This window comes from Homo sapiens, chromosome 8, assembly GCF_000001405.40.
Source record: "Homo sapiens chromosome 8, GRCh38.p14 Primary Assembly".
NCBI lineage: Eukaryota > Metazoa > Chordata > Mammalia > Primates > Hominidae > Homo > Homo sapiens.
In genome coordinates, this window is record NC_000008.11 from 113,168,542 (window position 1) to 113,181,658 (window position 13,117).

Genomic DNA, 13,117 nt, shown 5'->3' on the forward strand with positions numbered 1-13,117 from the left:
AAAAAACTACAGATTTTAGCTACAAAAAATGCTAAAAAATAATCTTTACAGTGAATAGATAAAACTGGGCTTTGTTTTGATTGAGTACATAAAATCTTAAAATATATTTTCATTTTGGCGAAGTACAATTTATTATTATATTTAAGCACTATATGGGAATGAATAGAAATATGGCACCAAATTATTTTTGTGTCTTGTTTCAATATAGTACTTTTCAGTTTTCTTTAAGTTAGTTTTATCAATAACCTTATCTATTATTTATTTAGTATCATATTTCTGATATCACATTTCAGCATTTACTCATATGTAATTGGGACTTACTATGCATAAAATAAATGACATTTTTGATTTCCTACTGCCTTTGTGAGGTAATTTCCAGATACAGAGCAGGGAACAAGCAAACATAATAAATATCCTTTCATTAACTAAGTCACTACTTCTTTGGAGGAATTTTGGTATATAAAATTTAAAAAATTACTAGGCTAAAGCTTCCTACTTCTTTCTTCTCCAACTATTGTCTTTTATTGCTCAGCCCAATTCCATGTTTTGGTATTACATTTTGATCCAGAAAATTGTTGATCAAAGTTTTTTGGCAGGAGAATAATATAATATGGTGACAAATCAAGCTGCTGTTCTTATTTCATCAGTCATTTCTCTAACACATTGTGGAAAACAGTCTTCCAAGAATAAAACTTGGAAGATTTATTTTTCTTTGTCAAAGGCAACAGTTTCCTCATTAGCCCTTTTGCTTAGATGTACTGTAAATATATGGTTTAGGTCACTCAGCAATAATTTACCATACAACATCTACATCACTAACATCCAAGCTTCTCCAAAAACTATCTCACCTGTCAGATCACAGTAAACTCTGTCAACATTTTATAGCATCACATCCCCTTATTGATCAGTCCTTTCCCTGAGCCCTCATATGCATTCCAAGTTCTTTCTTTTTGGCCACAAATATACTCAAATCATCAATACAATATACCACTCTTTTAAAATTTTCTTTGGTTAATCTAAAATTCACATTTCTAATTTAGCCATATGTTTCCTATGACTGCCTTCTTAAATCTTAATATGTTAACTCTTCCATCAAAAGTATGTGTCTCTTTTACATACAATTCTATTAGTTTTTCCTGGGGTATGTGTATTATATTGCCATTCTGAATGCAAAATATAATTATGAATTTTGGAATTGTTAACATAGGAATAGCATAACCATTTCACCTCATCTGCCACTTCATCTGTGAGAACTGGGTTAAGAAGGATTCTAAAGCTACATCATGTGCCCCAGGTATTCTCATTCAAGACTTGGCGCATAGGAATTAGGCTTCACTTTGTACAGAATGTTGCTTAGCCCAGCAGCAGGCAGTTAGTTGACTTTTACAAATACTACCAGATGGTGTTGATAAAATTCATCCTGCCTGTGAACAAACACAAAACCTTTACACCATACCCTCTAGGTTGATGTGGAATACATTTTTTCTTAATTAAACTACCATTGTTAGGAAGCATCAAAAGAACTCTCTACAAGCAAAGGTTTCATCAAGGAGAGACTCTACGTAAACTCCAGGGAAAGCAATGAGTAGATCATTACAGAGTCATCAGCCCCCTGCAAAGTTATAAATGCTATCAAGTGGCAAAGAAAAGCAGAGGGAAGGCATGAACTGAGTAGTCTGCCATCTTTTCTTTGGAAATGAATGACAACTACACACACTGCATATACAGTACTCCATTCTTTAAGTTTTAATGAAAAAAATTGGTTAGTGAGAGATAAATCACACCTTAGAAAGTTAGATCATGTGCTCTATGAAGTATGACTTAGACTCTACCTTTAGCCAGTGAATATTAGTAACACGTGAGAACTAATTTTGAGGCTGGAAAGGAAAATCTGTACTTTCTACATGAATTATTGTTTCATTCAAAATGTTCTTGCTCTATATAGTTTGTATTTTTAGCAATTATCTGTAAAATCTTCTCTTAAAGCGTTGTCCCTAGCTGAAATTCCTTGCACTCAATGGGCGATATTAATACCTTCCTTATCAAGATTCCTAGCTTACTCTACAGATTCTGCTATTAAAGCAATCATCATACATTACTGCAATTACTTGATTACTGTCTGCCCCACTGGACCACAGGTTCTTAAAAACAGAAAATGTGTCTTAATCAATCTTTTGATTCTCAGCACATAACATAATGCTTTGCAGAAGGAAGGCCCTTAATAAATACATACAAATCAGTAAATTTATTCATTAGTTTTACAGCTGAGGAGAAAAAAAAGTGACCTGGGTAGACTAAAGTTAATCAGGTAGCATTTTCAAAAATAGTGGGTGCCAATTTTGATAGATTTTAAAAAATCATAGAAGTTAGAGTGGTGGTCAAATCTTGCTGGGACCTGGGAGTGAAGAGTAGGGAAGTAAATACTCTGGTAGCAGAGTTTAACCCTGAAACTAAAATGGCAATAGAAAAAAAAAAAAGCAATAGAAGCATTGGTTTTAGGGTTAGATTTGAACAGAAGGACATTTGATATTATTCCATTTCAAATTTGTCTTTGTTGACTGTATATCCTTTCTTTAGGGAGGAAATAGTAACAGGTGCTGAGGAAAAGTTGGATGATAGAGCTAACATAAGTAATAAATTGGTATGTAACTGATGTTTTATGAATGCTATTACATTAAACTCTAACAGGTTTATGATTTTGGTATGTCTGCCTCTCTCTTCATCCCAGTATAGCTAAAAAAAAAATAGCTTCCAAAATAATTCAATTATTACTCTAAGTCCATAGTCAATAAGTGGCAGAATCAGTATTCAGAATAAGGCCTTTCTGATTCCAAAGGCTATTGTCTGAATTGAGATGAAGGAACCTAACAACAGAGATTCATTTTCAGGCAGTGTTGAGAATGCTCCATTGAAATCTCTTCAAAGTACTTCTTAGTTTTAAGTGTCTTACTACTTGGTTTTTAAGAATGTTAATATGTCTCTGATTTAGGGAGTTTTATGGTTTTTTTTTTAAAGACTGCATTTCTGCTGATTTCCATATAATATTCCATATAATATCCAATTCCTCCAATTATAAAGAAAAGTTCTTAAACAGAGACACAAATTATTTTGGTGATGTATCAAAAAGGTAACAAGCTCAGGCTTTGGAACCTGAGAGAATATTTCAGACCTTGCTTCTTTACCACAGCCCATTTGCTTTTGGGAGACATTTCTCCATTGAATGCTCATGTTTCTGCATATCTTGTGAGCACAGGTACCAGTTATCCTGCTTTTTTGTACCTGGTTATCCTTCTGTACAGAAAATAGCCAAGGAGAATATAGTGTTTTCCACCAGAGCAAAGGATAACTCTGCTTACAGCCTTGAGAGACGGAGATAGTGCTCCCTCCAGAGGAAAGAATGGGAGGGCCTACTGCCCATTATAAAAGAGTCAGGTTTCTAAGCTCATGGTTCATCTCTTATAATACCATTTAGTATGTTGTGCAGGTTTCTCACACTCTTCATGCCATTCTATGAGAATTAGGGCTTGGGAAACTGGCACAAATCCTGCTATTCTTGCTCCTAGTGCTGCTGTGAGTAATAAACTATCCTTTATTTCTGACTCAACAGTCTTGTGTTTTTCATCAACATCCATAAAACTGTGGCAAAGAGTTTTAACTTGAAAGTAGAGTAAAATGTCAGAACTCTTCATAGTTCTTGATGTTTACCAGCTGAGTAATCTAGAGCAATTATTTTTAAATATCTGAGCTTCAGTTTCCTATTATAGTGAAATTTAAGTGATAATGCTTATAAATTTCATAGTATATTTATAGTGCTTAAATAAATGACAGCTAATAGCAGTTATTCAATATTAGTAGCAACACCAGCAGTAGCAGTAATGATAGCGGTAATTGTGGTAGCCGTAGTAGTTGAAGCATACGCAGCAACGGAATCTAACATTGAAAGAATGCCAACATATAGCAGACATTTTTACTAAGCAGCCAGTGTAGCTTATCTTATTTAATCCTCACAAGAAATGGAACAGGTGTTTTGTGTTTTGTTTTGTTTTCATTAGTTAAATGAGGTAAATGAGACTCAAATTGTTGAACTGATTTTCCTGAGGTAACTCACATGGCAATTGACAAAGCTGGGATAAGAAGCTTGTTGTGTCTAATTACCAGGAGGTTGTGGTGCATGTATTTGCAGTGACATGTTTGGGAGGAAGCTACAAAGTAATTTAGATGGGCAGTTGGACATTCCCACATCCCAGTCATGGAGGAATTACAGAAGCATATGCTTACTAAGGAAAAAAAGAAGCCCAGAGGAAACACAATGTTGGCCTCCAGAATTTTTGTAAGAAAAATCCATCCATGTGCTTAGCTAATGTTGAACACGTTCTGTTTCCCAAGCTCTGTATTTTGAACCTTTGTCCACATTATTATATTATTGTGTTTTCCCCATGATACAAATAATCTTAATAGTATTGATAGTAAACAAATGCAGCATAATTAATTTCGAAAATTTCCATGCTGTCGTCTATCAGAAAGATTTAGACTCAGTCAATATTTCTTAAAGCAAAACAATTTTGACAGCCTAATTAAATTTCTAATCATAAACTCCATGTTTTAAATATAAATATGAAAGCATATAAATACACAATGCATGCATAACTATGCATATAGAGATATATAATTTACTACCTAATTTCACAAGCAATGTGAAAGAGATACTAGTCAATACTAGAATTTAGTATTTTTCTCTCCTTTTCATGTAGTATATGAGACTATTTATCCTTTAGGTTTTTGTTTTGTTTTGTTTTTTGAGACAGAGTCTTGCTCTGTTGCCTAGGCTGGGGTGCAGTGGCGCGATCTCAGCTCACTGCAGCCTCCACCTTCTGGGTTCAAGCAACACTCCTGCCTCAGCCTCCTGAGTAGCTGGGACTACAGGCGTCCACTACCACACATGGCCAATTTTTGTATTTTTAGTAAAGATGGGGCTTCACTATATTGGCCAGGCTGGTCTCAAACTCCTGACCTCAAGTGATCCACTCACCTCAGCCTCCCAAAGTGCTGGGATTACAGGCGTGAGTCACCATGCCTGGCCTCTCTATCCTTTAGATTCCGTAGAAGAAACAGGCACCAAACACATTTTTCAAATACACTGGCTGATAACAACTCTCATTTTTAAAGTGTTTTCATTTTACCTCTACAGATAGGAACAGGAAAATCCCACGAAGCTGTATTAACTGAATTGGCTATGCAGGTGAGCTGAGGGTGGCCATCAAGGATGTATCCAGTTACACAGCTGTAGCGGATCTTGTCCCCGACGTCGAATCTTGTGCCATATAATACACCTTTGGGTGGAACACCAGGATTTCCACAAGAGCTACTCTGCAATTCTATTAAAAAGGAGGAAAAGGAGAGTTTACAGTTATTTCAATAAGCAGTTTATTGTTTTAGATGTATAAAATTATATATGTAGATATGGATATTCTTATTTCTTTGGAGAAGAGTCACTGAAAGGAACTGTCTTCTATTCCAATACATGTGACAGTGAATATGGGAAGAAAACTAAACCTTATCACAGAGGTATTATTGGTCATTCTTTATGCTAGAAAGTTTTAGATATTATATTACTTAGTCTTCAGAGCATTACTCATATATTAATATTTACTCAGATAAGTAAAACTGAGGATAATATCATTCACATGGCTTTTTCAAAGTTACATTCTAATAACATAGTAATAAGCAAATTCATTTCCTTAATATTATCTTCAGTCCTTCAGTGCTTAATCTTAAACCATGAACCTAGATAAAATACACATTTTTCATGGAAACCTTTATTTCATTTAAATGAGAAAAATACAGTGGAGTAGTAAATGGACAATTTTTAAAGTTAGGGACGGTGAGCTAGAATTCCAACTCTATTATTTGTTATTAACCTTGAGTGTATACTACGAATGATAATAATAAGTGCAAACAGTTGTAACATTTTAATTAGATCAATAGGCAAAATATATGGAAAATGATATATCAGAATGTTTTACCTATCACCTTCTTATTCTATTAGTTGATGCTGAAAACTAAACAAGTATACAAACATAAGAGTTTTTTAAATAATATTCAATTCAGAAAAAATCCAACTTTAGATTAAATGAAAAAATTTTTTTGAAAATAGCAGAACTTCAGGATTAAAAATATTAGAGGTTATTTGTTCTCATATTGTTTTCTAAATTTTTATTTTATTACTGTTATATTACCTTTATACTACAAATAATAATAAAAACACAAACAGTAATTAATGAACTAAAAGATATTCCAATTTGAGTAAAGTCAGTAGTTAATAGTATTGTGCAAACATTAATTTCTTAGTTTTGGCCATTTTACTGCAGTTCCATAAGTAGTTATATCAAGGGAAACTAATTAAGACTATATGGGAACTACTGTTCTTGCAAAATAATAAGCTGAAAGTCATGTTGCAATAAAAAGTAAAATATTTTCCCATTTTGCTTTGATATTTATTTCATTTGTGCAGTTACTAAATTCTATATAATATTACAATGTTAATTCAAATAATTACAAACCATTGTAATAATTAAAATATCGATGTCAATATTAAGCAAAAATATTAAAATACAAAATGGTTCACAATATATAGCTTAATTTTGAGAGTGTTTTTTAAACTTTCATTAATTTTTTGCCTAAACTTTTCAAAGCAAGTAAAAGAAAAATCACAGATTAATTTCCAGTATGAGGTCAATTTAATCAAGAAAAATGTATTGAGCACAGGACATCCATATATTTTAGAGAAAAAATATTTACTTTGAGTTTTAAAAATGTAGTTTTAGGTTTCTTAAAACTAGAAAAGTGAAGAAATTGGCTAATATTTACTAAACATAAATGGTTTCAATAGACAATTTTCTTAATAATACATTCTAAACTTAAATTTGTAAAATATTTAGTGTCAGTAATGAAAGTTATTTCTAATTTTTTATTTTGTTATTTCTCCAAGACATTAGCTATATGTGAATTTTCAGTAAAACAATACAACTTTATTGTCTGTGAATTTTGAGCAACTTTTAAAGAAACACTTTGAACAGTAGTTTATTTTGAAATACTTAATTTTTTGGAAAATTATTTGATTAATAGATGAGATGTTTGTTCCAAGAGACAGTGAGGTTAATAAGTTTTGACAAAATGAATAAGAATTCAATCCTCTGAATATAGTAATAACAAAGGAGATACTTTTAATGAAACTACCACTTTTGGCCTTAGAATTAATCCACTCCTCTTCCTTCCACCCTCTAAAAAATAATTAAGGTCAGGACTTCAATTATCATAAAGTTATATGTCTAGGAGAAAAGTGGTTTCCAAATTATGTCACAGGAAGCAACTAGGTGGGGGAATAAAATGAAAGAGAAGAAAGCTCTGAATAGTTTTTGGACTCCAAATTAACTTTGATTTAAATGAACAAATAAATGTATCCAGAATAAAGTACCTAAAGCAAAATGGAAATCATGTCAGGTGAAGTAGTGAATGAATAGTAACATTGAATGGAATCTTAATAGATTACCTAATCTCCTGCCTTATCGCTTAATTACTTCTAAAACTGATAAAAATTTAGGTTATTTCAAAATGAAACTCAAAGAAGACAATTTTAAAGCATATCTGGACTTCACTTTCAGGAAAGTCCTGCTGTTGTTTGTGCCTGTTTATCATCTTCATATAGAGAAATATCTACCCATCATCCTCTGTTAACTGAGTAATTCATAAAGACAGTTAAGATGTTTTACATTCAGGTTTAATCAATCCTGATTCTATAACCACTGCTCATGGATTATATTTTTGTCTTCTTCCAACCCTTTAATTCAGGACTTCTCTCTATGCTGTCTATGTGCATTTTCAAAGGCAAAGCAAGTATGATGTGTCACTAACTGAAGTACAAAACCCACCATCAAAAAAGATTATGTTCTGATTGAACATTCTCTTCTTACTCTTAATGTTTTAAAACTAAGTAGTGCTGCATATTTAAACTTTTGAATTAAATTTACTTTTAAGTAATAAAAAGTTTTAGAAATTGCTAAGATAGACTAGATTTTAGATAATGTTTCTGCCAGCCATCCAGAGTTTGAATTTCAGAACAGAAAACCAAACACCACATATTCTCAATTATAAGTGGGAGCTGAAAAATGAGAACACATGGACACAGGGAGGGGAACAACAACACTGGGAGGGCGGGGGTGGATAGAGTATTAGGGAAAAGAGCTAATGCATGCTGGGCTCAATATCTAGGTGATGGGTTGTTATGTGCAGCAAACCATCATGGCACACTTTTACCTATGTAACAAACCTGCACATCCTGGACATATACCCAAACTTAAAAAAAAAAATAAAGTATGTTTAAAAAAGAAAAGAAAATGAATTACTCAACCATGTTCAATATATCAAAATATAAAATAATTATTAAATATATGTTGTAAGTATTTACAGTAAGTGATGATATTGCTTAAAATACATAAAATTACAGATTTTATATATTTAAATATATACAGATTTATAAGTGAAGTGAAGTGAAAAATACAGATTTATAAGTGAAGAACTTTTTTGTAATTCATCAGATGTACATGCAAGCTAGACACATTATACTTGTTATCTCAATGTGTTTTGAAGCAAATAATTATACCTAAAAGCAGAGTTGCAAAATATAAAATAATTATTAAATGTATGTTGTATTTACAGTAAGTGATGATGTTGCTTAAAATATATAAATTAAGGAAAACAGATTTATAAGTATAATGAAGAATTTTTTTGTAATTCATCAGATGTACATGCAAGCTAGACACATTATACTTGTTATCTCAATGTGTTTTTGAAGCAAATTATTATACCTGAAAGCAGAGTTGCTGAAAAGACTTCAGTTATCTTCTTTTACCAGCAGATGACAGTAATATATTGATTAAGAGGTTTAGGTGACTAACACAAAATAATTATAGAATCTGAAAAATTGTCTTCTAACGTCCCATAATACAATGATTAAAATGGGATTGCAGTAGGGGAGGCAGTACTTTAAAACCAATTACACAATATTCTTGGTTGAGCACTTAGAGCGGGCAGGTTGATGAACTGAGATCACTGGAAAATAAACCTGAAGAATTTGTACTCAAAATATGTCTCTGAAAATGTCAGAGACTCTTTATGTTAAGTTTACTGCTCTAGGCATAACAAATTATTTAGTCTAATTAAAATCCATCTGGTTTTGGCTGGAAATATGTATATTTTATTTATCTTCTCTTCTCACAGTATTGAGATTATCAGCAAATATGAAGATATTTTGACAACATAGACTATTCTAAAGTGTAGAAGATTTTTGATATTGCAAAATAATTCCTTGGAAAATATACAAGATAAACTTTTAAAATTCCAGTTGTGTTTAAAGGGGTAGAGTTCAGTGACACTCTTCTCTATTAGTTGAAAGAAAAGATCAATTACTTGGTAAGTGACACTGACACTATTTTATTCATCAGAAGCTTTTAAGAGTTACCACTAACATTGCTCTATGATATGTACTAGTTAATACTACAGCATGTCCCTTGCCTTCTGAGTTAACAGTTTGAGAAAGTCAAACTTCATTGTTGAGTATCAGCTTTGATAGGCATTTGGGCATTCTTCCACTTAAATCTCACAAAACACTAGACATTATGGGTATAATTCTCCCCATTGTGTAGAAAGGAAAACTGAGACTCAGAAAGATTAAGTAACTTTCCAAAGGCCACCCACTAATAAATAGCAGACTTGTGGTTCAAACCTAGGTTTCCTAACTCAAAAGCCTTAGATCATTTCACAATTACATATTGCTATCTACAAAAGGCAGATATTCATTCCACAAGTATTTATTAAACATCTATCATCAGCAATGCTCTGGGGATATAGTCTAGCAAAAGGTAGACATGGAGTTTATGATTTGGTGGCTACCAAAAGTAATAAATGAGTAATTTACAGAATACTAATTGTATTGCGACATGTGGCAGAAACGAAACATGTAAGTTATACTAAAGGCATATAATGGAGAAATCTGAATTAGTATTGATTAAGAGGAGATCTGGAAAGGATTTCCTGATAAAGAAAGGCTTTAATTGTGATCTGAAAAGGATAAAAAGTTAGTTTTTGTTTGTTTGTTTCCAAGGGCAGTGAACAAGTATATTTGAAATAGAAAAGTATAAGAATCAAAGTACTGTAATAGTTATTAGGTTTGGCAATACAATGAAGACAGGTTTCATGGAAATGGTAGGGTAGTGTAGAAACTAGATTGCGAAAAAATATTTCGAAAGGCTTGATCATAGATGGCTTCACGCAGTGATGTATATCCTTTTCATAGGCTCATAAATATGAAGGAGAACTATTTCCTCATTAAATATTTGGTCGTGGGGTGCTATCTGCTTTTTAAAAGAGTAATTGAGAGTAAATAATTAAAATACATTCTATAAATGTACAAGTGAGCAGAGATTTTCATAAGCATGCATGATATAAAGTGTGTAAGTTTACTAATTTAATACTAATTCAATGTTGAGTGGGAAAATTGTGATAAAACGGATTATCAAAATTAATTTTAAAAAAATTAGTAGCCAAAATGATGTATGCATATTATTTTAATATGAGAATACCAATTTTATAAGACTGTTGATATTATTACATAAAACAGTATATGTTAGTCATGTATATTTTTAGCAAGCACTCAATATGAGACAAATATTATTAACTCAATAAATTGCAGTTTTATTATTATTATAAATTGTGTATTTGAGACATCAAAATTAGATGTGATTATATTATGATCTTCTAGAGGTTGTGTCATAAGTATCAAATTTTCATTAAATGTAATGAAGTATGTTAGATCATTCTTGGTCTTAAAAATTAATTTAAAAATAGTAATTTAGTCAAGGGTAAAATTCAATTGCTCCTCTCCGAATCATAAAGGAAATCCAAGGTCCAATCTTAACTTTCAGCAGAAAATTTGTATAAACAAATTCACAGAAAGTCCCCTATAGGTGTCATTGATTTCTTCATTCTTTTGTCTATTATTTGGTATCATATATTAAGCACCATTCCAAGCACAGTAGTTACCAAAAGATATATTCAATGAATTGCAGGCTAAAAAATCCAGATAATTTTCAAAAGGAAAATAAGTAAGTTTAAAATGCAATTTAAATCTTGAAAGAGAGCATATATAAAGGACTATAGGAGAACAAAATTTTTGTTATGGTTTCCTTGGATAAATGAAATAAAACTCTACCAAGAAATTTTTAAAAAAAAGTGTGTGATTAATACTAATAAACATGTTACAACAGTCTCATTCTTTAAAAAAAATACCCAATTTGTTGGGAGCACATGTATAGTTGCGAAAGGCAAAATGTTTTACAAATTATCAGGAAGAAAACCTTACCTTGAAAATGGGAATGAAAAATTTAAAAAAGGGATAACAGACATCTTGACTACAGAATTGCATAATTATTCAGTCAAATAGATGAAGCATGATCCTGCTGAGATCAATTAACAATGCTTTAAAACAATGCAAAATTATATCTACTAAGGGAAGTAAAATCAAGTTGTTTGTACTTCTTAGAGAAAATTAATCTCAGGGTTTATTTCCCAGATGATTAAAAATAATTTAGGAGAGCATAACATCAAGCTGAAACAAAACGTTTTGCACCTAGTACCTCTCATCCTGAGACTTCCAAACACTTAACAAACAAATCCATTTTCCAAATTTTTTAGTGATACAAAATGTTCTTTATTACAAATATTGAACCATTTCATTCACACAGGACATAAATGGTATAGTTTGGAATTTACCTGGGGACTTCAGTTTGAGCAAACATTTTATGAGTGTTTTGAATCACCTATTGCATCTATAACGTCCTCATGGTCTTTTCTTTCAGTACATAAAACTGAATGAAATTTATTTCTATATACATTTACTTCCTCACCAGATTTTGAGCATCTTGAGAAGAGGGACTCTAATTCATCTTTGTATACCAAGAATTTAGCACACTGTGTTGTCCCCAAGCAAAAAAGAATTAAACTAATTGCATTACCTCCTTGAGTAGAAAAATTTAAAAGTTAATTATCACACAGATCTCATAGAATTAAATGTTTAAATACAAAATAATAGAGTGGAATCTGTAGTATAGAAGAGAGTTGCAGGAATAGCATGATTTAAACTTGTTTTAATAAGCACTGGATCACATTGCCACCATGTGATTTTGTATGAGTCAAATTACATAGTTATGTGATTCAATTCTGTTTCTATGTGAAAATCCATTCACTTCTGTAAGCCATTTCCTTTCCATAAGCATAATTTCTAAGCTGGAGTCATGTCACAGACCTCACTGGGATGCTGGAGATGTTGCAAACATGAGGCCGCATTTGCCGTTTTGGAAGTCATCCTGAAACTTCAAAAAGGTTCAGAGTTGCTAATCAAAAGGACAACTATTATATGTTATTTGTTATTATTATTATTATCATTATTTGTTATTATTTTAACTTATTGAAAGGGAACCCAAATAAATTACTGGTTGCTAGAAAAGAAATAAGAGCAAGACAGTACTGTCTTAGCTGGGCTGCCTAAGAGGAAAATAGATTATTGGATTGATTTTAGGGAGGAATGAACACTGATTAAAATGTATTATAAGCAGTAGGAGAAAAGTCTATTGTCATTTTAAAAAAATATTTAGATAAGTCTCAGGGTAAGATGCATATATTTCCAAGGAAAGAAAGTATGAAGCATTGGAAAAGTTAGTGTAAAACCAAACACATACACATTTATGCTATGTTGGTAATGTCATTCTGTTTTCATATTGTGGATACAGATAAGGTCCACTGGCACTACAGAAAAATATTTCAGCATCAGATGTAGATTTATGGTTAAATACAAGGTAGAAAATACTTTGCACCATATACAAGGACAAGTCATTAGTTATGTTGACCCATGAATAAGAGGTAATGCCCATTCAATTGGAAATATCTGTGCCCTTTTATTGGCTAAATAAATTTTATCACCCAAAATGAATTTACAAAAACGATATTATATTTTTGTTTTGTAAACTCTATAACCACCATTGTGTTAACATAGTTGGGTGAAAGG

At 31.7% G+C, this 13,117-nt stretch overlaps 1 protein-coding gene across 9 annotated transcripts in view; it reads right to left on the reverse strand.

Annotated features, from left to right (window-relative positions):
- The window catches only part of CSMD3 (CUB and Sushi multiple domains 3), a 1,214,012-nt gene that overhangs the window by 945,614 nt on the left and 255,281 nt on the right, over positions 1 to 13,117 (reverse strand). For all 9 annotated transcript variants that reach the window (NM_001363185.1, XM_017013010.2, NM_052900.3 and 6 more), the window contains one exon: positions 5,181 to 5,375. In NM_001363185.1, coding sequence (NP_001350114.1) covers positions 5,181 to 5,375 — 195 coding nt within the window. The remainder of the gene's footprint in view (positions 1 to 5,180; positions 5,376 to 13,117) is intronic.